Genomic DNA, 25,110 nt, shown 5'->3' with positions numbered 1-25,110 from the left:
GACAGGAATCTCTACGAGGCGGCGGCGTTCCGCCCGCGGATAAGTGCCCAGCTCCCTCCCCACCCCTCCGCACTACCCCCCGAGGGGGTCAGCTTATAAAACCCACCTAGGCTGCCTTTGCTGGAGACCCTACGAGAATCCCCGGGCAGGACCGGAGACGCCTCCCAGAGAGGTCTGTACAGAGCAGAAGGGGTCCGCGGCCACCGTCAGCGGCGCCCCGAAAGCCCGGCCACGCCGAGCCCCACAGCGCCCCGACAGCCGGCCCCGGGGCTGGGACTCCCGGCCTGCAGGCGCGCTGGGCCGAGCGGCGGGCAGAAGACGCCCAGCTCCAGCCGTGGCCCGGGAGGAGCGCCCCGAGCCCGCAGCCCGGCGAGATCAGCTCCGCAGGGAAGAAGCCGGCGTGCGGGGGGCGGGGAGGGGCGGAGGACGACCGAGCGGGGCGGAGGAGACCCTGGCGAGGGAGTGCGGCGCGGGGCTTGGAGGCGAGGGCCGTGGGGTTGCAGAGGAGCCGCAGCGCAGGGAGCCATTCGGGGCCCGGGCGGCGGGGCGCAGGCGGCAGGATCCCGCGCCGGGGGCGAGTAGCCGCGTCGGGAAGACCAGGGTCCGGAGCCCAAAGCCCGGCCAGGCCCGGGTTCCCGGCGCCGCGCCCTCACTCACCCGAGATCTCCGCCTGGGGCACGTCGCTCAGGCTGAAGCCCTTGGCTCCGTAGATCTGGCGGACCTCGCCGCAGCTCCGGCTCTTGCTGGCCGGGTCCCCGCGGGCGCAGGCGACCAGCGCTGCGGCCGCACATAGCAGCCACCAGCCTCGGGCCCGGAGCTCCATGGCGGGGCCGGCGGCGCCCCCGGCCACCCGCCCGCGCCTCTCTCGGATCCTGGCCGGGTCCTGCGCAGTTCCCGCCCGCGAAGGGCAGAGCCAAGGTCCCGGCGCGCGCGGCTCGCGGTCCAGAGGCGGCGGCGGCCGAGGAGGCGGAGACAACAAAAGCCGGCGGCGGCGGCGGCGCGGGGCGCGCGGGGTGCGAGGTCCGAACGCTCGCTCGGGCAGCCCAGAGCGCGGCGGGCTAGCGCAGTCCCGGCTCGGCGCCTCCCCCGCCGCCGGCCCGGCCCCTAGGCGGCCGCGGGAGAGGAGAGGGGCGGGGCAGGGTGGGAGCGCAGGGGTGGGGGAGGGACTGGGAGCACCGGGCGGGGCGGGGCGGGGCGCGGCGCGGGGGCGCGGGCCGGGGCGCACTGGGCGCTCCTCTGGCTCTTAGGGACCCAGAGGGCCCGCCTGGCCGCGCGACTCTATCGATCCCCGGCGGGAGGCGGCGGAGCCGGGCAGCGCGGGGCCGCGGCCGGGGTCCCCGAGGGCGGCCCCCCACGCCCAGCGCCCAGGGCGGTGGCACCACCTGTGGGGGCGGGGACGGGGGCGGAGGGTGCGCGAGGCAGGGCTTCCCCCGCCGGACGTGACATCACGCCTCCCGCGCCCCAATCAGGGGCCTCCCCGCCCCCAGCCGAAATCGGCATCCCGCTCCCCGCTCCCTCCCGCGCGCTCCGGCTTCCTGCACCCTGGCAGCGCGCCCCGAGAACGCTCTCCCGGCGCCTCCGTACCCTCCGCCCGCCGGCCGCGCCTCGAGCCGCCGCCCCTCTCCCCGCCTGCACCCCGCAGCGGCTCCCTCCCCGCGCCCTTCCAGCCGTCTCGCGCTGGGCTCCGGCTCGCACCGGGGGCTTTTGTGGTGTGGGGGCTGCACGCAGGAAACTCGCCAAGAAACTCGACCTCACCTCTCCCAGTCCCAGGGAGCGGCAACAGATGGCTTAATTGTTGGACCTTGACAGCTGTTTTGGGGGGGTGACCCTCCACGTTCTTTGGATGCTGGAGAAACCAAAGTGATGGGGCAGGGCCGGTCTACTGGTTTGGGCTGCTGGGTGGGGCCAGATGACCTCTGGAGAAGGGATAGGGTTGGAACCCGGCGACTAGTTAGGCCACTGGGGGAGGAGGGTGGAGTGAGCCGGAGCAGATGCCTCTTTGAAGAAGGCGGGAGGGCTGCCTGCACCTTGTATGGTAGGAGGGCGCGTGGCTTTAGCTGCACATGGGGAGTTGGGCTGGATGGGGTCTGTAGGGAGGGGGCGAGGACTGCGATGTTGGTGTCTGGAGGGCTTCACTCCTTCCTTGGCTCCCAGACCCCCCACCCCGGCCCCCTGTTCTCCACATGGTAAGGCCTGGCGGTGAAGCCAGGTGCCTGAGCTGCAGAATTGGGGGCAGGCATAGAGGTCAGTATCCTTGGCAGAGAACCTCAAGATGACCCCCATGTACAGCAAGGGTGTCCTGATTTCAGGGCCTGTGGCATCACCTGGAAGCTGCAGCGGGGTCCGTGGTGGGGGTGGTGGCAACATTCCCTACCCCTTCTGTGCCTGGGGCTCTCAGCCGCTGTGTGGGGCTGGAGCAGGAAGGTGGGGTGCCCTCCCCCTGGGCTCTTGGGGTTTCCTGCCCTGCCTCCCAGAGAAGGTTGCTCCTTCACCCAGAGACACTGAGTCATTGCTGGAGAGGGAGGCTTTGGGGACCCAATCCAAGTGTGCATTTCCCTGCCCTCCCCCACATACCCTCTGCTGCGTCACATTTTGTGACTCACAGACCCCTGTTCAGTACATGCTCCAGGCTTGCTCCTTCTTGCCTGGGCCTGGCGTGGCTGCCTGCACACCTTATCCAGCACGGTCAGGAGCCTGGGCCCACGATCCCGCTCTCTCTCTGTGTGGTCTCACGCACTGCGGGATCAGGCAGGGCTGCCTGGGCCTAGGAAGCTGGACTTGAGGTTAACCCGGCCTGAGGCTCTATAGTTACCCCGTCACTGTCTACGCCTCCTCTTAATCTGACCAGGTTGGGTTATTCCTCCAGGCAAGTCCTTCCTCCAGCCTAGTTCTGGGCCTCTGGATGGCAGTGTGGACAGCAGGGCTTAGAACGCGATGGTGGCAGCCTCTGCCTGGCCCTGGTGACCCCTGGGTGGCTTCATCTCCTAAGGAAGTCCTTACCACCATCGCAGGTCCTGGAATCATTCCCATTCCGCAGGCCAGGAGACCTGTAGCCAGGGCCTTCCCTGGAGAGGATGCACATGCCGCCGGGGGCATTGGAAGCAAAAGCCGTGTTTGCACCTGGGAGGAGCCGCAGGATCCTGAGCAGCTGCAGCTACCCCTGCTTCCCTCCTGGCAATGCTGCACACGCCCGCTGTCACCAGGGCAGGAGCCGCCAGGCTGCCCGTGCTAGTCGGGTGCAGGGTCCAGACTGGGACTCTGGGAGGATGGGCAAGGCTGATCAGCCCCCTCTTCCACCGCTGTCCCTGGGGCCGCTCCACACAGGACACGTGGATGGGTTTGAGGACATAGTTGATGCCTCGAATCCCAGCCACCACAGTGACCCTTGTGGCTCTGACCAAGACCACCCCCTCCTGCTTTGGTGTCTTTGCCTGGCTAGACAGTGGGGGCACACGTATGCGACACAAAGAAGGAATGAATGAGCAAGTGAGGAAACACCTGAGAGGAAAAGTTTGTCCCTGAGAGTGGGCGTGTGGCGCAGCCTGGACCTGCTCTTCCACAGGTGCAGTGAGGGCAGAGGACACTTAGCATTGTCTGACGGGCTGAGGCAGGCAGTGCCTGTTGGGCCAGGGCGTGGGGGCCTCCCTTCCATGCCCCCATCTTCTGTGGAGGACCCCAGGTCCTGGAGGGCGTGTACTGCTGGCTTAGGGCCCACTCCTGCCTCTGCCTAGGGAGGGTGGGGGTCTGCGGGATGCTGAGCCTGGTCTCTGCTCAGAAGACACAGGGAGCGCCGGGGGGCCCGCAGCTCCCAGCCGTTCGGACGGCAGGTCTGCCCAGAAATTATCCTACTTTTGCTCCGTGGAACCCTCGTGAGTGTGCACGCCCTTGCCCGCTGCCATGGACGGACAGCTTCCCTTTCTGTTTGGTTTCAGGGATTGTCTTTCGGAGACTCCAAAAGTAAGTTTCCAAACAGACTGAGCGATTGTTGTCGCTGCCATCCATGGCTGCCTTCTTGTGAATGTCACTGCCTGTAGCATCCCTACCTACGAGAGCCCTGTCCTACTGGCCGTGGGAGGCAGGAGTGCGCGCGTGTGCCTGCAGACAGCAGGGGTTCAAGGGCGTGGACTAGGGCTGGCTGGGATGTGGCATCTGATCTGTTAGAGCACCCAGGAGGTGTTTTGGTGCCCTGGGGCATAGTGGAGGATGTAGGGTCCCCACACCTCTGTGGGGGTCTGGGGACCCCTTGGGCAGCAGCCTGAAGGAGGAAGTGGATACCCCAGCATGTGGCTGATGAAGGGAACATGGTCCCCAGGAGTGGCTGGCAGCCCTGGGCAGAGCAGGGTGGGCAGGACAGCCTGCCTGCAGAGCTGGAGATCTTTCTGCAAATGGTAATCAGGGTGCCTGCCAGAAAGAAGCGGGGCTCTGGGCAGCTCTACAGGGCTTAGCGATGGGGAGGGGATCTGCCCCAGGGCCTGCTCTGGCCCATGGACTCCACCTCCAGCTCACCCCGTGCTTCCTGCCCTGCCTTTTGGTGGTGACACTTGGGGAACATTCATCCGGTCTCTCATTCTGGTGCTGGCTCAGGGAGCCGCTGTCATCTCATGAAGGAGCTCGGCTCCAGACGACCCTGCAGGATTGTACTCGTGTGGGGTCTGTGAGGTGGGGTGCTGGTCCCTGCTCTGCCTGGACACTCAGTGGTACCCTGGAAGGTCTTCCAGCCCTGAGCCAGGACCCTAATCTACAGGAGTTCGGCTTTGAGTCTGAACCCTAGGGCTGCCCTGGCTTCCCCAACTTAGGGGCTGCCACTGGGCAGTGAGGGTGGGTGGACAAGGGCGCCAGCTGGGCAGAGTTTGCAGGACTGAGAAAACCTGGCACCATTATTCTCAAAGGAGGTCATACCTGCACCTCCCTCCACCTCTCTCCAAGCCCCTGCCGTGGGGCAGTCAACTTGAAGGTGAAGCTGTTTGGAGCCTGCTCTGCTCTGCTGGGTCCTTTTGATCAGCAGAAGTCTGGGCTGGCCTCCCTTATCCAGGTCAGAGGAGAGCAAGCCTTTTCAGTGAGGCTGGGTCACCCGTGTGGTAGGTGGGGTCAGAAGAATGCACCTGTGGCCCCTCCAAGAGCTGGCACCTGTTTCTCTAGTCTGAGGACCCTGGTAGCAAGAGATGACCCCAAACACTCCACTCTGGGCTGAGCTGGGTTTGGCCTTCCCTGTGGCTGTTTTCCTGCCCCTCCCCACCCTGACTCTTGGCCTGGTCTCCTTGAGGAGAGGGAGCAGATGGGGGCACTCCGGCACTGTCTGCTATGTTAGGACAAAGCACCCCACACACCTGGAGCTCAGAGACCCACGTGCACGCTTTGGTGTCCCCAGCACCAGCAGCTCATGGCTTTCCTGCCAGGTCCTGTCTGCTCTGTGTGTGGCTCCTGCCCTTCCCTCCACCTCTCCCCTTCTGGACCATTGCTGGCTTTTGACCTATTCCTCCTGCAGTCCATACTGCCTGGCTGATCATTTGAAAACCAGCTTCAATCCGAAGCCTGCAAGGACTCTGAAGATCAGAATGCAGCTGCCCTCAGCCACAGTGCAGGAGCCCCTGAGCCTCCCCCTCCTCTCAAGGGGTCCAGGAAGCTGAACGTTCTTCCCCTCCCCATTCAGATTCCAGGGTCACCTCAAACCTTCCCCTAAGCTTAGGGAAGGCCTAAAGTTGCCTTCAGCTCCAGAGGTCTGGAGTTGAAGGGTTTCATTTCCCTGTAGATGAGGCTCCTAAGGTCTGAGGGGGTCGGACTGTGGCCCTGTCCCGCCTCCCACTGCCCTTCTGCAGGCTTGTCTGAAGAGCTTGCTTGGTCCCCAAAGCAAAGAGCCGTTTCCAGGGTGAGGCCAACTGGAGGCATCCTCTGAGCTGCTCTGCAGGTAAGGGTTTGCCTCTGGACCATGCTGGCCTGGAAGGGTGGCACTGTCCACGCCACACTCCCAACCTTCCCTGCTCCTGGGGAGGGTGTCCTGGGATGCTCAAGGCCCTTTGAGGGGAGTTGTCCAGTTGGTGACAGGAACATGGCCGGGGCACCCTCTTCAGCCAACCTTTTCTCTGGAAGACCAGAGAACAAGACAGCAGGCATCTGTCCTCCTGGGCAGGAGCCACCAGCCTGCATGTGGGGAGGTGGCTGTGGCTTCCATGGCCCTGGCTGGCAAGCCATGGGCTGGGGGTGGGGGGGGTTGGGGGCCTGCACACCTGGCTGCGGAGGACACAGGCCTGTACTGTGTCAGGGCCTAGAGCAGCCAGAGTGCTCACAGTGGCCTGCCCTGTGTGCCGCCGGCCTGCGCTGGGTGGGAGGGAATCCAGGGGCTCAGTGGAAGAGCCGTCTCCTAAGGGGGAGGCCTTGCCAGGGCCCACCGAGCAGGGTCTTGCAACCTTGGCAGGTGAGGCTGAGTCACAGGCGAGAGAGGCACCTGCATGGTGCAGCTGAGGGAGGACTGTAGCCTCCCTGGCCTGCTGGTCCTCTCTGGGAATCCTATTTTCCTGAGGAGGCGAAACTGCCGCATCCGAGTGTCTGTTTCTCTGTGCAATAGTAATGCCCCGCTAGGTGGCAGGGGACAGGTGTCCTGAGCGTTGGACGGCTGAAGGGCAAGGGAGCCCCTGAGGCCTGTGGGAGGGAAGGGGTGGTGCAAGGCCTCTTCTGGGGACAGGGACAGGCTGCCTGGTCCCTGGGGAGGGGGATGGGGGAAGGGTTGGTTTTATTTGCCCTGCAGCCACCGGCACAACCAGAGGTGAAGGCAGCTGCAGGGCCCTCCTGGACACAGTGGGAGTGTCCAGGGAGGGAAGGAGGAGGGGGGCTGGAACAAGACACAGCCGAGGACTTGGGAGGAGGAGAGGCTGAAGCCGTAGACAACGGCTGAGGACCAGGGAGGAGGAGAGGCCCTGACCACACCCTGCAACCATGGCCTGGCCCATGGGTCACACCTACAGCCAAGCTCAGCCACATCGGGTCAGCTCTGGCTGGCCCACCCGTGCTGGGGAGTGGGCAGGCACTAGTGGTGGCGAGGCCCCTCCCTAAAGGTGGCGTTGACCAGCCCACCTGGCCTTGGTCCCCTACCTTCAACGAAAGTCTGGCAAAGGCATCCTGAGAAGGTGACAGAGGGAAGCCCTGCCCTTCCAGAGGGCCTCAGGCCAAAGTGCTCCCCAGACCTGGGGCTGCGGCCCAGGGAGGGCGGCCAAGGGAGGCTTAGACACCTGGCCTCTGGGCCTCATTTTAGGGAGGCGAGGTGACTCTCAGGCAGGTGCAGGGCTTCCTGAGTAAGTGTCACATGAGCAGAGTGATTGCAGCCTGTGAGGGCAGGGTTGTCAGCCAGGTGAGGACAGTAGATTTGGGTCAGGGCCAGGCACAGCCACAGGACCTCTGCCCTATGGACATCCTGCTCCTTTTCTGGCCCCTGAGCCCCGTCACTCCCTCTGTCATTGCTGGTGCTGACCAGCTGAGCCACCCCCTTAGGTCACTCAGTCTTCTTCTCTCTTCATTTTCTCGGAGGAAAAATGGGCATGAAACAAGGATATTCCCTGAATAGCCACATAGTCTTAAAAAACAAAAACAGAGTTGGAGGACTCAGTTTCCCAGTTTCAAAACTTACTACAGTACAAAGCTACAGTAATCAAAACAGTTTGATATTGGCATGAAGGCGGACATGTGGACAAATGGAATAGAAGAGTTCAGACACAAACCCACACACCTGTGGTCAATTTTTTGGGACAAGGATGCCAAGATTATTCAATGAGACAAAGAGTAGTCTCTTCAACAAGTGGTACAGGGACAAATGAAGCTAGACCCTACCTCACACCATACACAACAGGGAACCCAAAATGGACCAAAACCCCCAGTGAGCAAAAACTCTTAGAAGAAAATATTGGGGAAATCTCATGACATTGGATTTGGCAAGAGATTCTTGGATATGAAACAAAAAACACAGGCAATAAAAGAAAAAAACAGAAGAATTGGACTTTATGAAAATTTGATAGTACCCTTTGTGTTTCAAAGGGTACTATCAAAACAGTGAAAAGACAAACCACAGAATGGTAGGATTTTTTTGCACATCATATATCTCATGAATGTCTAGTTTCCAGAAGAAAAAAAAAAAACTCTTCAACACAACAGCAAAAAGTCAGTTTTAAAAATAGCAAAGAATTTGAATAGACACCTTCCCAAAGATGATATGCAAATGACTAATAATCTCATGAAAAGATGCTCAGTATCACTAGTCATCAGGGACATGTAAATCAGAGCAACAGGATGTCACACACCACACTCGAGATAGCTAGCACCAAAAATCGGAAAATAAGTGTCGGCGACGATGTGGGAAAATGACAAACCTTGTATATTGCTGGTGGAAACATGAAATGGCTTAGCCACTGTAAAAACAGTTTGGTGGTTCCTCAGAAAGTAAAACAGAATTAACATACAGCTAGGGGTATGGACAAAATAATTGAAAACAAGTATTCAAACAAAAATTTTTGCATGGATGTTCACAGCAGCACCATTCACAGTAGTCAAAATATGGAAACATCCCAAATATCCACCCAATGAGCAGACAAAACTGACCTATCCATGCAAGGGAATGTTCTCCAGCCATAAAAAGGAATCAGGCACCGATTCCTGCTGCAGTGTGCAGGGGCCTTGGAAAGATCACGGTAAGTAAAAAAAGCTGGACATCAAAGGTCACAGGCTATGTGACTCCATTTCTGTGAAATAACCAGCATTTCACATTCCCCTGAACCCACAGCAGCAGACAGCAGGTGCGTGGTTGTGGGGGCTGGAGGCACGGAGAGATGGGGAGAGCCTGCTTAGTGGTTTCCTTGTGGGGAGATGAGATGTTTCGGAACTAGACAGAGGTGAGGCTGCACAGCACTGTGAGCAGATGAAGTGCTGCGGAATTGGACACTTTAAAGTGGTTAATTTTATGTTACATGAATTTTACCTCAGTAGAAACCAAAGCCAAGCAGAATTGCCATGAGGGATGAGGTGTGGAGCTGATTATCCACGTGGAGCCCGAGAGCAGGCCTGACATGGAGGGAGCCTCTCCCAGCGTCCGACGATCTCGTCCTTCCCAAGTGGGCATAGTTCAGGCTGCTGGAGGTGCAGAGAAAGAGGCAAGGCGCCGTCCCCCAGTGAGCGACCCTGTCTTAACCTCAGCATCATGAGGCTGGAGTGGCCAGGTGGCTGGGAGCTGCATTTCTCAATCCAGCCACCTGGCCACCTCCCACTGCCACCACACATCACATGTGCCTGCAACAGAACCATGGCAGCCCACCCATGAGGACCCACCCAGTGCAGGGAGGCGAGTGCAGTGAGTACCTGTACCCACTTCGCCTCTGAAGCAGGTGCTGCAGGTGTCCACCCAGGCTCCTCCTCGCTCCCTTCTCCACACTCAAGGTCGCCAGTGACCGCTGCCTGCTGGGTTTCCCTGGGTCCCCTGGCAGAGTAACCTGGAAGTGGCAGAAAGAAAATGACTTAGACGTATCCCTTAGCTGGTGGACAGGCACCAGTTCCTGCTACACAGCTGGAAACCCAGGCATGTGTGTGCTGTTACAAAACAAACTTTCAACACATTTAGTTAAGATCTGATATGGTTTGAAAGTTTCTTCTCTCTAAATCTCCTGTTGAAATGTGATCCCCAGTGGTGGAGGTGAGGCCCTGTGGGAGGTGTTTGGTCACAGGGGTGGGACCCTAGTGAATGGCTTGACGTCATCCCCTTGGCGATGAGTGAGCTGTCGCTGAGTTAGTTCACACGAGAAAGCTGGTTGTTTAAGAGAGCCTAGGGCCTCTCCCTTCTCTCTCTTCCTCCTGCTCTTGCCGTTGACGCACCTGCTCCCCCTTTGCCTTCCACCATGAGTGGAAGCTTCCTGAGCCCTCACCAGAAGCAGATGATGGTATTGTGCTTCCTCTACAGCCTGAGCTGATTAAACCTCTTTTCTTTATAAACGACCCAGCCTCAGGTGTTTCTTCATAGCAATGGAAGAGCCGACTCGCGCAAGATCTAATTGGCTATCCCTGGTGACTCACGAATCAGGCAGCATCGCATTTGGAGAGTTAGGAAGGGTGTTCCCATAAGCTGAGTGGAAGAGGTGGGCTTTACAGGCAGAAAAGGCTGAAGAAACAGAAATAAGAGGACAGCAAGTGATTGGGCATTGTGGGGTCACTTTCCTTGTCAGACTAACACGGAGGGACTTCCTGAGTCTCCTGACTCAGGTAGACTGATTGGCTGCGGTGAATCTCTTCATTTTGGGAAAAGGGGCCCTTTCTAAGTTCAGTTTGATGATGTGACATGAAGCATGAGTGACTCCATTCTGGTTTGGTCTGGGTGTTGGGTTTGGGGCAGGAGCTTCTCTGAACCAGTGGCCACGGTCGTTTTTATTTGACCATTGCTCTACGCTGTCTCCTGAGGTTTCTTGTGGCTGAGCCAGGTCACAGTGAGCTGCACCGATCACCCATCCTGCTACTTCCCTCCTCATCTCTTCCTCACGCCCCTGCTGCTGTTTCCTGGGACCATCCAGTAAACGAACCTTGTCTCAGCATCTGCTTCTTGGGGGAACGCAGTTGAAGACTGTCTCAGATGTGCACAGTCTCCCTGAGAGGTGGGTCTGTTTGCATCCAGCTTATAGAAAAGCACCTGGCTCAGGGAGGTTAAGTATTAACAATTCACACAAGTTCACAACAGCTTGTGATCGTCCCTGCCCTGTCACCTCCCTGTTTATCACTACGTTCTCCAGCGACATCCTCCCCTCCCATCATCTCATGCCTTGGAAAAGGTGGGCAGACCCTGAAGACAGAGCCCTTACCTGGAAGGGGAGGCGCCAGGTCTCCAGCAGGCAAGCCCTGGCTCCCTCCCACCCAGCAGGAACACTGGGCTGACTCTGGACAGGTGGAACTGCCACAGTTTACAGAGGTCTGAGTGAACTGGAAGCATCTTCAATCCTTGTGCATGAATTGGTTTCCAAGGTGTTGCCCGTGATATTTTAACCATTTTTGTTGTTGTTGTTTAGAGACAAGAACTTGCTCTGTTGCCCAGGCTGGAGTGCAGTGGCACGATCATAGCTCACTGCATCCTTGAATTCCAGTGCTCAAGCAATCCTCCTGCCTCAGCCTCCTGAATAGCTGGAATTACAGGTGCACACCACCGCATCTGGCTAATTTTTTTTTTTTTTTTTTTTTTTTTTTTTGTAGAGACAGGGTCTCGTTATTTGCCCAGGCTGCTCTTGAACTCCTAGCCTCCAGTAATTCTCCTGCCTTGGTCTCTCAAAGTGCTGGGATCACAGGTGTGAGTCACCACGCTGTGTGGTATACCGCAGATCAGTGTGCAAGCCTGACGGTAGGGCTTGATGAATTTGCATCTCTTAAAGTGCACCCAGATTGAGAAACAGAGCATGCCCTGCCCCAGGGACCCCTCACGTCCTCTCCACATTGTCCTGCACCCTGAAGTCCCCCTGCCCAAAGCTCCCCTGCCACAGGACAGGTGCCCTGCCTTCGACCCTGACCCATGGACTGGGCCGCCGGGCCTGGCACTCTCCCTGGCGCTGACCTCGGTCTCTCGATCCTGAGCACCACCTGCGTTGCTGCCCACTTCTCGTCCTCAGGTGGCCTTCCGTTGTGAGCGCCTGTGGTCTCCATGCCCAGGCCACCGTGGCTGGACAATCGTGTGGTTTCAAGAGCGCTGCTGTAGCTGTGTTTGTCTCTGCCACCAGGGGCACATGGGTGCGTGTTTTTGCGGGGTCAGAGGTGCTGGGCACCAGGCTAGGCAGAGTCCGCTAAGCCGCTTCACAGAGTGACTGCTGGCTGGGCTTCCCGCCTGGTGTCCTCACCAGCACCAGCTGCCCTAAGAAATCATCTCTTCATGGATGAGCTGGCTTCCTCTCCCTGGAAGGTAACTGCATCACCAGGGCAAGGGCAGCTGTTGGTTCTGCTGTATCCGAAGCACCAGAATGTGCCTGGTGGGGCAGTGCCCGCTGAGACTCGGGTCTTCACGGCTGGGTGGTGAGTGGTTGTTGTAGGAGTGACCAATGCTTGTTGAATGAATGAATGACCACGTGAGGTGGCATTGCCATTAACCCTCAAGCTAAGAAGGAGCAGGGGTGTTTGGAAAAGTGTGAATCTGGCGGAGCCGGGCACTGCACTTGTGTGGCCCCAAGGGCCTGGACATTTCCCCCATGCCCCTGGTCCAGACCAACAGGCCTGCCCTCCGAGATTCTGTCCCCAACGTGAAGACTCCTGTATTCACTGAGAGCCTCAGGACTGTGTTTAGAATGTTGCTCAACACAATCGTGGAGAAAGTGCAAGCTTTCTGTCTTCCTCTGCAGCGTCAGTCACCAGCCAGCCTCCTGCTTTCTGCCCCCACAGTGCCTCAGGAAGACCCAGCCCTCAGCCCCAGCCCTAGCCCCACCTCAGTCTCCCTCCATGCCTGCAGGTTTTCTGGAAGGAGATTTTCTTGCTACGTGACCATTTCTAAAGCTCATCCATTTCTAAAGCTCGTTCTGAAGCTGTCCAGAATTAGGCATTGCACTTTAATTGCCATTGTGGGAAAAGGCATTTCAAAATCACACACAGAGACCTCGCCTGCTGGCCAGCCCTCCTGCCCTCCTAGTGGTTGGAAATGCCAGAGCCACACACAGTCGTGGTGTTGGGCGGAAATTGACTCTGGCGCGTGGCACCCGGAGTGGCATTGGGTACAGGGTAGTGGGAGGGCTGGTAACCCGGGGATTTCCACTCAATGAGCTTGGGCTGAACGCGAGAGGCCCGAGGGCCGTACGCCTGGTGCATCCATCAGGAAGGTTAGTGGCAGAGACACCGGTGCCAGGGACTATCACTGGTCGGAGGCCATATGCCTGGTGCACCCATCAGGAGGGTTAGTGGCAGAGATGCCGGCACCAGGGACTGTCACTGGTCGGAATACTCCTGGCGCACTCATCAGGAGGGTTAGCAGCAGAGACGCAGGTGCCAGGGACTGTCGCTGGTTGGAGGCAGGGCTAGATCAGCTGAAGACCGTGTTGTCCCACAGGATCCAGTTTTTGGGACCAACAACCAGAACTGGAAGCTTTTGAAAAGCTTGAAAAATCTCTAGTAGTGGTTAAAATAGAACACATCACATTCTGAAATATATGAAAAAGAAAAAAGAGGGTTCCCATTCACACCCTCACCCAGAGTGATCAGGGTGAGCCACTGTGGGCGCATCTTTCTAGAACTTTCTCTGGTTCGTAAATGGCCCTGTTCAAGCATCTGATGCCCATTGTGTGCGGCATTGTTTTTCTAACTGAACCCTGAGCGAGCCTTGGTGGCCTCTCCACATCAGGGCCTAAAGCTCCGCCCACACCTCTGTTCCAACCCATTGTCACTATTCCAGAAAAGGGCTGCAGCCTCTGTTTTACCATGCCTCAGCTCAAGAGTGTTTTTATTTCAAACAAAGTGATATTAAAATGGCAGCGGTGGCTTCTATAGAACAGATGATGAGAAACACATCTGCTGAGTTACAGGGTGCACATTTCAGTATTTTAAAGAGGTGGCCTAATGTCCTTCAAAAAGACAAAGTCAGGCACAGTCCCTGGTGACTCATGCCCTTGTCAAAGCAGGGGTCATCACACCTCTCGATGTTGCTGACCTGAGGCTCGAGGGGTGAGATCCGGGAGTGTTTCCGTTTGTACTCCCTGCTCCCTGGGAAACTGAACATTTTTTCATGCATTTACCAGCCACTGTCAGGTTTTCTTATGGCCTGTCTATTCAAGTCCATTGCCATTTTTCACCTTTGTTGTTTTTTTTTGGTATTGATTTTTGAGGAGGTCTTTATGGATTAAAGATTAGGCTCTTTGCCTGGAATCTGTGTTGCAAATATTTCCTCCTTCCCCTGTTCACTTATGTGAAATGCCAGTAAATACTCATTCCAGCATACACTGGCCTGTTTCTAGACTCACCCTGGATCTTTTTTGCATATTGCTGGGCTAAGGCCACACTGTTTTGAATAATGTAGTTTTGTAGGATGTACATTTCTTCTTATTCAAAATTTCTTGCTATTCTTTCCAGTGTCTCCCCCAGATGAACATTGGATTCATCCGTCAAGATCCATAAATAATGGATGAGAATTGTCTGGAGCTCATAGATTAGTTCTGGGAGAATTGATATTTTCTCAGACATCCAGGTATTCTAGGTATTTCAAATTCTCCCTTTATTCAATTTAAAAAATTGCTTTGCAGTAAAGTCTCACGTTTTTCATCATCTAGCCCTTTTTATATTTTGGGGTTTATTCTTAGTTGTTTTAAGGCTTTGTCTATTGTGAGCAGTATTTCTGAGCATACGTTTTCATTGGTAATTGCTGTGTTTAGGGAAGTCATTGGCTCCATTGATCTTTCAAGTCACAGCTTTGCTAAATTGTTTCCTTACTTCTAATACTTTTTCAGTTGGCTGCCTTCTGATTTCTAGGTAGACAATCATAGCATCTGAAAGTAGTGATGACTTAATCTTTTAATTTCCAGGTATTTATGCCTTTCATTTCTTTTTTTAATAAATGCATTACTATCCTTATTAGGATCTCTAGTATAATAGTAAAGATAAAATTGGTAATGATGAAAACACTCATGTTTTCTCCTGACCTTAAGACTAATGCTTTGAAAGTTTTATCATTAATTACAATATTGACTAAAGGCTTCTAGAACAAACTGTTATCAAGTTGGGGAAGTTGTTTCCTATTCTTTCCTTGCTACAAGGTTTCTTTTTAAAGTCCTAGTAGGGAAGGATATGGAATTTTTTCAACATCTGTTTCCATGATCGTATCATTTTCCTCAACTCAGTTCTTGGTGTAGTGAGTTATGCATCTAGAATTACTGCTATTAACCCATCCTTGCATTCCAGGACTAAACCCTACCTGCAATGGAAGCATTTGCAATGCCATCCTGGATGTGATTTGTTGAGGCTGGGCCCTAAGCCCTGTCTGTTTCCATGGTCTTGCAGGGCTCTCCTGCTGTGGGGGTCTCCTTGGGCTCAGAGCACTCCTGTGGCAGCAAGGCCAGAGCACAGGTGATGCTGTCTCTGCCTTGCACTGGCTGCTGTTCTGATGAGGCGTGAGCAGTGGCTTTCCTGGCCTGTGTGGCACGAGGACACTTGTCAGGCCTGGGTTGCCCTGGCCAGCTTCTCCTGGGGCTGCATGTCCCATGGCCTGGCATGGGCCCTGGGGAGCCAGGGCCTGCTCCATCCCCCCTCTGGGATCCTTGTAGCCTGCTCAGTGTCCCCGCATCAGTGTTGCTTGTGCTTGCTGACTGTGCCTTCCTGCCTGCTGGCCACACCTGTCCAGGGGGACCTGGAAATGGACAGGGGTGCTTCTGATGGGATTCTACACCCTTCATCTGCTTGGGGAGAAGGCACCCACACCCGTGAGTTATGTCATGAAAAGCATACTTGTAAAGCTGGCTTCCTCCCTGACCCTGGGGCATCCTGGTCTTGTGCATCCCAGTTGGGAGGAATCACCACTCTCTGCATCCAGGCCCAGCAGCTGCCTTCCAGGGTCCTGGGTGTTCCTCCTGCAATATCTCTTTAAAGTTGGTAATTTGGAAGATTGAGCTGGAAATGCACAAGTGAGTGCTGCCTGAGGGCTGGGGGTTTTGGGGTGGAGGCTGCCACCTCACATGAGGCCTGGATGCTAGTTTGGGCCTTTTGTGGGCCTAGTGTCCCTGGCAGGCCTCTGGCACCACTGCTGTGTTCCTGGGCAGATCCGCAGAATGGGACACTCTTGGAAGCAAAGACACCCATCCTCTAATTTTCTTATCCTTTCCGAAACCGAGCTAAACCCACTGCTCAAAATTGTCAACACGTGGCTTCCAGCCCTGGGGAACAGGATTGATGGCCTTGTCATTCCACATGGGCATGTGGCTGAGTGGCTACTGTGGGGGTGGTTCCCATCTGCAGAGGGCGTGGGGCCCTGTGAGGACCTGACTGTCCTTCCCTGTGGGCCGAGGAAGCCCCTAATGTCGGGGCACGCACACCAGAGGAACCGGAGGAGCCAGGCCATTTGTGCTGAGGGGATAGGATAGTGGGCAGCAGCCCCAGGACCCTGCCTGCCTATCCTGAGGGCCCAGACCAGATTCCCGGTCCCTCTGGGGTCCCACAGCCTAGGACTTGCCCACAACTCTGGTTTTGGGGCCGTTTGCTTGCCCAGGAGGTCGTCCTTCCATTCTTCATCCCTCAGCCCTCCCATTCTCCCGGGTACTCCCATAAGGCAAGCCTCGGGCCAAAGTATCAGCCGTGCCTTTCTAGGTCTTCTCCATGCCCCCAGCCCCCCACTCTGAAGTGGACCAGACCCTCCCAATGTGTGCCAAGGGTGCTGAGCCTTCGGGCACTGTGGGTGGTGTCTGCTTGCCTATGTCTGCCCCTGGCCCACTGAGGGGGTCAGGAAAGGGTCTTCTGGGTGCCTGAGCAGTGTGCAGTCTCTGAAACGGACTTGTGGGGTGGGGGCAGGGTTCAGTCCATGGCCCCCCCATCAAGCTTCCTTGGGACCAGGAGCCCCTTGCAGGCTGCCCGGCTCCTCTGCCACCAGCTGGGGCTTGGCCTGGCTATGGCTCTCAGATACTGGCCTTAATGGTCTGGGAGCTGGGGGTCTCCACGGGCCTCACTTGGCCATCTGTGGCCTGGGCCAGGCTGGCTCTAACTCCCTGCAGAGATTCTGCCTCATTGTCAGATTGCAAAATGAAATAAAATGTAAAATGAAAATTTGCAGGACTCAGGAAGAGGCTGGGTGAGGCTGTGTGGACATGGTGCAGATGCTCTGATGCCTGTGGCAGAGTCAGCAGCCTGCAGACCACGTCTCCTCCGGAATGCACAGTGGTTTTGAATTTGTGCTTTTTTCTTCTTTAAATTATAGGAGGGAGGAGAGCTTGGCAAAGTGCAACATGGGACCTGCCAAGCCCAAACTATTTGGAAAAAAAAAAAATCACAAGATTTTTGCCTAAACTCTGAAAAGGCTTTGATTCTGCTTGAAATTTGAGGTCTGTGCAGATGGCCCTGAAGACAAGCTTGGCCACTGGCATGGGGGGGGGCTTAGGCTAGGCCCCCCAGTGTGACCACAGTATGGTCCTAGGACATGAGCCATGCAGGACCCAGGAAGCTGGGTCCTGAGGGCCGATGGCTGAGGCTCACTTAGATGTGTGCAGACCCCACTCCCTACCTGGGAGTGCACTCGTGGGTGTGGAGAGGAGCTGGGGTGGGTCTCCAGCTGCCCCTATGTCTGCAGTTCCCTGGGCACCAGGAGGACCAGCCTCCTCGTGGGGCTCAGGTGCTCTGGGAGGTGGGGGTCGGGGCCAGGCTTGCCCAGAGTTTTCCGGGCACAAGTGGGAGAGCGCAGTCCACACCAGACTGCCCTTGCTTCTGACTGTAGTGGTATGTTCAGGGGCCCCAAGACCCCACTTTCAAGGCTTAGCAGCTTGCCAGAAAACCCACAGGACTCACAGAAGCTGTCGTATACAAGGCTATGGTTTTTCATAGGGAAAGGATCAGGGATGAAGTCAGCCAAAGGAAGAACCACAGAGGTGGGATCTGGGGATGCACCAAACTCAAGACTCCTGTGTCCTCTCCCCGTGGCGTCAGGACAGTGTCACTCTCCCGGCATCTCTGTGGGACAGCACACCTGGAGCGTAGCCAACTGGGGATGCTCACCTGAGCCTCTGTGGTCAGAGTTTTTATTGGGGCTCCAATTCACAGGCACCACTGATTGATTGTCTGTGTGGTTATCTCAGTCTCTGTCCCCTCCCAAGGCCAACTGGTATCACCTGATCCAGATACTGCCCGCCCACACTCTGCAAAGCACATTGTGATCATGCGGCATGGTCTCAGGTCCCCAGGCCAACAAAGACAGTCCTATCAGGCATGACATTCCAGGGTGAGTGTCACCTCCTAGGAATCAGGGGCCAATGCCACACTGATTTCTGGACAAAGTTAAATTCTTTCCTATATGGGTATGCTCTAGGGGTGTGCAGGGGCAGAGAACCCTGTTGAAGATGAGCATGTTTTTCCTGCGGCCCCCAGACAGCATGGTTTTGCCCTCCACTCTGTGTTTATCTCCCAGTTGTCATTCCAAGCTTTTTCTGAAGCCTCACCTCCACTGGATTCCATGGAGGATGGAGTGGGGAAACTGTATGAGTGGGAGGCATGGGGTTGGCCTTCCTTCCAGGGCTGGCCATGGAGGGCCCAGTGCTGTGCCACCCGGGGGGCAGGCAGCATCCCTTACATCCTGCAGGGGCACCAGCCAACCCTCCACCTGAGGGTCCTAGATGGATGGCTAGGGATGTCAGTGGGGTCCCAGCTTGAGGGAGATGATGTAGAGCCATCAAAAGGTAAACTGAGGAACCATAAAATTTTTAAAAGAGGTTTATTTGAGGAGACAACTCATGACTCAGCTTAAAACCAGAAATGATTTAGGAGCTCCATCAAGAGAAAACAAGAGGGAGGTTTTTACAGAATGAATACAGAAGTAACACAAATAAAATATCTGATTGTTCACAGTTGTGCAAGTGCCTTGTTGGGTCCATCCTGTTGCAAAGTCCCTAGTTATAGAATTATAAGTTTGTTGGCTACTTCTGATTGGTGGAGCTTAAGTTTTGTTTTTCTTTAATGTAGGTATTTACATGAAAAGGTTCACAGTAAGTTTCACTTATGTCTGCAAATGAAGCAGTTTGCACTTATGAGGCCTAACTGGCTTTGTCTACTCAGGGACTCTTCAGGCCTAGCCTCTGTAACAGTTACTTTAACAATGCCCCCCCAACTTTTGGGCACCCTCTCAGCAAGCTGAGACCGGGACCAAACAGCATAGCATTACTCTAGGTTACCACTATGGATGTAGTCCCTGTATCATCTCAATACTTGCATTGAGATATAAGGTCTTACAGTCATTGCTATACAAAATTACACAGTCATTGTGACTTTGAGTTGCTGAGTTGTGGAACTCTCTGAGTTGTCTAATTCTGATGGCAATCTTTCCATGCATGAGTGGCTGCTGGAAAGCATTTGTGGGTGGGGGGAGTGGGGAAGGATAGCATTAGGAGATATACCTAATGCTAAATGACGTGTTAATGGGTGCAGCACAACAACATGGCACATGTATACATATGTAACAAACCTGCACATTGTGCACATGTACCCTAAAACTTAAAGTATAATTAAAAAAAAAAACACTTGAGAGGATACCATGCACTTGGGAGGTGAATACAATGACTGTAAGGAGAGTCACAGCCAGGAATGAACATTTTCCTGGGGCAGAGATTCCCAGAAGCCAGATTTAACCAATGAAATCAATCAGTGGAGGAGGCAGCACCCGTCTGGTGAGACTAGTGTTTGTCTCTCCAAAGCCTTTAAGTTTTGGCAACAATTTCTAATTTATTAAGATAGAAAAAACATTTTTTTAAATCTATAAGAGAACAAGCTCATTCTTGTTCAGCTGTTAAGATATCAATAACTTTTATTTTGTAGTATGATTGAGGCTAAATTGTTCATTTAGCTGTCCTATGAAAACAAAAGAAAATCAATGGTTAATATTTGAACTGAAATATGATTGTAGTTTTTTGAGTGCAGAGGACAGCTAGTTGAGAAGATTTCTACGTTTCTAGAGCTAAAAACATCTCTAGATGGTGGAGTGAGGGATGGTAGTTGCAGTCCTGATGGATTTTCCTGGTTGGCAGTGTGACTGTCTCTGATGAGGTCATGGGGTGTTTGGGTGAACTCTCTAAGTGACCTGTAGAGCAGCAGGCCTCAAGGTTGTCCATACGTGGTCTCTTGTAGTGATTTTTCTGAAGTTTGAAGTCATCCAGTTTCAGCCTCGGGGCATGCGAAAAGGGAAGTTCTATTTTCTTGTGTAAGTAGAAGAATTCAGGATTCAATCCAGTTTATAGATGGATAACAAAATCTCAAAGAAAATAAACAGGACTAGAATTTGATAATGGGTGCACTACACTTTCCTATTGAAATACAATCTTTTATAGTCAAAAATAATATATATATATTTAAAAAACAGGGTCTTTCTGTGTCACCCAGGCTATAGTGCAGTGGTGCAAACATAGTTCACTGCAGCCTCCAACACCTGAGCTCAAGCAGTTCTCCTCCCTCAGCTTCCCAAGTAGCTGGGACCACAGGTGCATACCACCATGCCCGGTTAATTTTTAAATTTCTTATTGAGATGGGGCCTATCTAGGCTGTTTCAAACCCTCCCACCTTGGCTTCCCAAAGTGCTGGGATTACAGGCATGAGGCAACAAGGCTGGCCAATTTTTAAAAATAAGTCATTTCATTAAGCTTGACCTGACTGTTTATATAAGTACAACAAGAATAGTAATTCTATGTATATTCAAAAATATCATATTTTAGTCAGAGCTTTGGTAATATCTAAGGGGCTTTATGGATTTTGTATCACTCAACCTTCATTTTAAAGAATTATTTAGTAATGAGAAATCTCAGATTAGACCTTTAAAAACCTCTCTAGGCTAAGAAGCCAAGCCAAGGACTTGTCCAATTGTGCCCTGTTACAAGGAGAACAGATCCCTATTGAACTTATGCAAATACTGGTATTGCTCTGAAAATAAGAATATTTAATAAGAGTTCCCAAATTCTGGAGCAATCAGATAGGGAGAAAAATATAAATGTTCCATTTTTTTTTGTTTACAAAATATATTTTATTAAATTTCTACAAGTTATAGGTAGCTTAAGAGAAAAAGGATTTCGAAAATCTGAAAAATAAGACATTAGAGAACCAACAATGTTTCTAACAAAAGGTGATACAAATTATAATTATTGTCATCAGCTAATTTAGTTCCATGTTTTGTTGGATATTGGGTTAGTCGTTTTATGAATCTATCAATTTTTCATGACTGTTCTGGAAAATCTTACCCTCCTGTGAGAGTGTGAGCTTAAGGTTACCAGAAACCTGTACTTGTCAGTCTTTTTCATGAAGCTCTTGCAGTTTTGTATCATGCAACTGACGAGAAATTTGGTTGTTTTGGTGATATATAACATTTCAACATAATTAGAATTATGGATGATAACATACTAGGATATATCATATTTCTAGGAATTTCAAATAATTTCTGGAATAGTCAGATCAATAATAAATATAACTTTAAAAAGGTGTAGTACCTATCACTCATTATTTGGCAATGCCTCCCATGACATTTAATGTATTAGATAAGCCTAGTTAATTTAACATCTCTTTTTATTAAGAGAGAAAATAAATGCTTTTGATATAGTCCAGACATCCTTCACAAAGAAGAAGCCCAGAGAAACTCACAAAGTTAATCTGAGGTAAAAAAGACTTAATTTAGAATTTGAATTTGGGAAGTTGTCAAAAATGCCCAAAGGGTTAAAACACTTAATTAAGTAAGATTACAGGTCATTGTGAAATAATACCAATACAAAAGGTTTTAAAGGCAAATATAGAAACTTACATAGGCATAAAAAAACAGCTCTTTTAATATTGAAAAGTCTCACTTTTCTTAAATGATAAAAGACTTTATGAAAGGCAACATGCAGCATGAGAAATTATCCTGATAAAACACATCTTTGTTTCCTGGGCCTGTTGCTTAAAAGTAAAGCAAAAAATATCTTCATAATCAAAAGCAGAACAATAGTCCAAGAAAGCTTTGTCCTTTTAGCAGAGGGGAAACCTAATTCTTACTTTGGACCGTACATTACTGAGCTTATTTTTTTATTTTTTATTTTTTTTTTGAGACGGAGTCTCACTGTCGCCCAGGCTGGAGTGCAGTGGCGCGATCTGGGCTCACTGCAGGCTCCGCCTCCCGGGTTCACGCCATTCTCCTGCCTCAGCCTCCCCAGCAGCTGGGACTACAGGCACCCGCCACCTCGCCCGGCTAATTTTTTGTATTTTTAGTAGAGACGGGGTTTCACTGTGTTAGCCAGGATGGTCTCGATCTCCTGACCTCGTGATCCACCCGCCTCGGCCTCCCAAAGTGCTGGGATTACAGGCGTGAGCCACCGCGCCTGGCCCTGAACTTATTTTTTTAAAAAAGATCTTATGAATAAAAACTATCTAATATTAGTAGTTTGACCACACCTAACATTCCTCTTTTGCCGGCCTTCTACAACTTTCTATATCTGTTCAGTTTTTGTCTCACTCTTTTTCTTCTTTTTCATTCTGAAACAATCTATCTTGCTTTAAGACAAAATTACTCTTTTTTCCTTAACGAAAACACACACCTTGTATACCTTCCCTTACTGAAGCCACATTGTACTTTCTTTGTGCATTTTTCACATACAGTTTTCTTTTAGCCCTATTATTTCTAGTAGTTTCAATTACATATATTATTTAAAATTCTTAATCATCAGTATCCTTCATATCTAGTGAAAATTAGGAAGTACATGATTTCATAATTTTTCAATAGCCTGTGCATCCTCATAGCACAGGACATACTTACCCACGGACCCACATATCTCTGACTCCTCTTTAATAAGAGACCAAAAATATGTAAGCCTGGGCTTCCCTAAGCCTTGATCTTGGCCAGCTCAGCTCATTTTGGACACTGATGAGGTTTGGACTTGTGAGTACTTTGTGAACTTTATTTTTAGTAGCACGTGCTTAGTTAAACAAATAGCTTACATAGACCCCTCACCCATGGTGTATTTAGTGGACAAAGCTGAAGCTGTTTGGGCTACAGCATGGAAGGGGACCCCACATTCCGCCCTATCAGTCCCACTGCCCTTGTGGTGGCCCCCCCCTAGGGACCTCCAGGCTCCAGAGCACTCAGGATCCATCTGCAGGGGCCTCTGCTCCCGGCACCCTGAGGGTCTCTGGTTACCTGCTTCTCTAAGAATGGGCAGAGGTCTTGGGAGCTGCTGGCCCCTCCCTGTGTAGCACTCTGCCCAAGAGTGAGGTGGAATCCTTGTCCCACCCTGCTCTTGGTGGAGGCTGACCTGGGCTCCCACCCACCAAGTGGCCTCATCTAGGGGTGGAGAGGAGCGCCCCCGCCAACACTGACACCTTGCACCTCTCCTGCCTCTCACCATGGAGAGTAGCTCAGATCTCACGCGGGACTGTGGGCAATGCAGCCATCCCATGACAACACGGCCACAAAGCCGATGGAGAGAGAGAGGGAGTGGGGAGGAGTCATGAGGCCTGCTGTCTCAGGATGCACCTGAGAACCCCTCCCTGGGGTTCAGCGTCACTGGATCCAGCGGCCCCTGGCAGACATCATAGCAGAAGCGAGTGGGGCTGGCTGTCATGTGAGGACACAGAGGACCCCATGGCTGGTCGGGGAGGGCAAGGCCAGAGCCGGGTGTCCCGACTGGACCCAAGTCCTCCCAGCTCCACCCACTCCGTGTGAGGGAGCCGAGGAGCCCAGTGCAACGCAACACAGACTGTCTGGCCCCGCGTGGCACTCCTGCGCGTCCGTCCACTCCCCTGTGCCACTTCGGGCAGTGTGTCAGGCTCCCTCCCCAACTCAGCCTCCTCCGGACTTGGGGGGTACTGCAGCTCAGCCTCCTCCGGACTTGAGGGGTACTGCAGGCCCCCACCAGGGTGGTTTGGCTCCTCTCAGCCCTCCCATTTCCACCTGGCAGCCTTAGGCACCCCCCAGTCCCCACTGGTGTCCATTCAGGTTGACCCCTGGCCTCTGGCCCCTCCCTGGATGCTCCAGCCTCAGCGGGAGCCAGGTGAGGCTTGGCCTCACCCCTTCTCTGGCCAGTGTGGTGGGCCTGCAGGGGAGGACAGTGCCTGTCCCCAGGGTGGACTGCACGTCTGTGACACTCTGGACAGGCGGTCCTTTGGGATGGTCTGCGGCCCTTGGGAACTAGGGGGCAGAGACATGAGGCAGTGGGCTCCATCTTCAGAGAGCTTAAGAGATAGGATGGGAGGTGGAGAGGCACCTTCCATCCCGGGGTGGATGTGGGCAGTGATGACCCTAGCCGGGGGCAGGCAGGGTGTGGGAGAAGGACTGGGCTGGTGCCTGGTCTGAGCTGGACACAGCCCAGAGATGGGACCTGAATCTCCAACCCTGGGCCCTGGACTGGCCACAGCAAACAACAGGGCCTAGATTGCCACGGCCGCAGAGCTGGGCCAGCCCCACATGGATGCTCCATTGGCCAGCTGAGGCGCCCGGCCCACCAGGGTGGACAGCCACTGGTCCAGCTGCCCGAGGTCTGTGGGGCCTGTCTGGCCTGGCTTTGGTTTCCACCCAGGCAGCAGCTGCAAGAAGCCTTCGGAAGGAGGAAGACCGGGCCTGGCCTGGCCCTGCCTCATCCTCATGCCTGTCAATCACACCCAAAGCCTGGGGGGTGGGGCGGAGCCAGAATCCCCCAGTGGGGCCTCCAGGGCTTGGGGACAAGCTCCTCTGAAGCTGCTTGGAAAACCTCCCAGCCGCCGCCCTGGGCTCGGATTCCTGAGCTCAGTCAGAGCTGGCGGCTCTGTCCAGGGATGAGAACCACTCTTACAGACCCCTACCTCACCCCAAGGCCTGGCCTTGTCCCTTTGTCCAGGCCCTGCTCCCCAGTATCTGACCCTCAGGCTCAGCCTGAGACCCGGAGGGAAGGAGCAGCCATGGGGATGGTGAGGGAAGTCTCTGCAGGCCCCTCCCTGGAGGATCCGGGAGAAGGTGGCTGGCTCCTGATCTTTGACATATCAAGGAACTGTGTCCTGTGTGCGGGGAAGGAGAACGGGGGGAGGGTAGGGGTGTCTCCTCGGAGTGCAGATGGATGGGGCAGGGGACAGGGGCCTTGGAACGTCATGGTGTGCCAAGTCCCTGGTGGCTCTGGGAGACGTCTCCTAGCTCCCCTATTCCCTCTTGGCAACCTGGGACCTGGGCAGGACCAAGCTGCCCCATGGCAGGTGCTTTGCCCTAGAAGGGATGAGGGTCCACTGAGGGCTGGATGGGGACTGAATGGGGGCTGGGGGCAGGACATGCCGTACCTTGCAGGGCTGCCTACAGTGATGTGTCATGGAGGTTGCTGGATAGACCCTAGAAAGGCACAGATCAGGGAGCGGGGACTGGCTCTGGACCCCAAAATGCAGCTACTAGCCTGGAAGTGGGGGTGAGGCAGCGGCAAGGGTGGATGGCATGGGGGGTGAGGGCCTCTTGGGCCACAGGGTGGCAGAGTGAATGCTGGT

General features: G+C 54.0%; 1 protein-coding gene across 1 annotated transcript in view, besides 8 other annotated features; it reads right to left on the bottom strand.

Annotated features, from left to right (window-relative positions):
• Positions 1 to 1,079, bottom strand: part of GPC1 (glypican 1) — a 32,414-nt gene extending 31,335 nt beyond the window's left edge. Inside the window, exon 1 of the mRNA NM_002081.3 lies at positions 658 to 1,079. Coding sequence (NP_002072.2) covers positions 658 to 823 — 166 coding nt within the window. The 5' untranslated portion in view covers positions 824 to 1,079. The remainder of the gene's footprint in view (positions 1 to 657) is intronic.
• Positions 831 to 890: a silencer, noted in NCBI's record as "silent region_12510". NCBI's record gives its function as "represses an Ori minimal core promoter by ATAC-STARR-seq in GM12878 lymphoblastoid cells {active_cell/tissue: GM12878}" and the evidence as "EXISTENCE:reporter gene assay evidence [ECO:0000049][PMID:35858748]".
• Positions 951 to 1,610: a silencer, noted in NCBI's record as "silent region_12509". NCBI's record gives its function as "represses an Ori minimal core promoter by ATAC-STARR-seq in GM12878 lymphoblastoid cells {active_cell/tissue: GM12878}" and the evidence as "EXISTENCE:reporter gene assay evidence [ECO:0000049][PMID:35858748]".
• Positions 951 to 2,016: a biological region, named in NCBI's record as "H3K27ac-H3K4me1 hESC enhancer GRCh37_chr2:241374143-241374719".
• Positions 1,440 to 2,016: an enhancer, noted in NCBI's record as "H3K27ac-H3K4me1 hESC enhancer chr2:241374143-241374719 (GRCh37/hg19 assembly coordinates)". NCBI's record gives its function as "activates a minimal SCP1, AML or CMV promoter by ChIP-STARR-seq in naive H9 embryonic stem cells {active_cell/tissue: H9 hESC(naive)}" and the evidence as "EXISTENCE:reporter gene assay evidence [ECO:0000049][PMID:30033119]".
• Positions 2,416 to 2,710: an enhancer, noted in NCBI's record as "tiled region #14717; HepG2 Activating non-DNase unmatched - State 20:ReprD, and K562 Activating DNase unmatched - State 8:EnhW". NCBI's record gives its function as "activates a minimal TATA promoter and a strong SV40 promoter by Sharpr-MPRA in HepG2 and K562 cells {active_cell/tissue: HepG2 | K562}" and the evidence as "EXISTENCE:reporter gene assay evidence [ECO:0000049][PMID:27701403]".
• Positions 8,831 to 9,330: an enhancer, noted in NCBI's record as "H3K4me1 hESC enhancer chr2:241366829-241367328 (GRCh37/hg19 assembly coordinates)". NCBI's record gives its function as "activates a minimal SCP1, AML or CMV promoter by ChIP-STARR-seq in naive H9 embryonic stem cells {active_cell/tissue: H9 hESC(naive)}" and the evidence as "EXISTENCE:reporter gene assay evidence [ECO:0000049][PMID:30033119]".
• Positions 9,331 to 9,832: an enhancer, noted in NCBI's record as "H3K4me1 hESC enhancer chr2:241366327-241366828 (GRCh37/hg19 assembly coordinates)". NCBI's record gives its function as "activates a minimal SCP1, AML or CMV promoter by ChIP-STARR-seq in naive and primed H9 embryonic stem cells {active_cell/tissue: H9 hESC(naive and primed)}" and the evidence as "EXISTENCE:reporter gene assay evidence [ECO:0000049][PMID:30033119]".
• Positions 24,239 to 24,824: an enhancer, noted in NCBI's record as "H3K4me1 hESC enhancer chr2:241351335-241351920 (GRCh37/hg19 assembly coordinates)". NCBI's record gives its function as "activates a minimal SCP1, AML or CMV promoter by ChIP-STARR-seq in naive H9 embryonic stem cells {active_cell/tissue: H9 hESC(naive)}" and the evidence as "EXISTENCE:reporter gene assay evidence [ECO:0000049][PMID:30033119]".

This window comes from Homo sapiens, chromosome 2, assembly GCF_000001405.40.
Source record: "Homo sapiens chromosome 2, GRCh38.p14 Primary Assembly".
NCBI lineage: Eukaryota > Metazoa > Chordata > Mammalia > Primates > Hominidae > Homo > Homo sapiens.
Note: the sequence above shows the minus strand (reverse complement) of the source record. Positions and strands in the feature narration are given on the sequence as shown.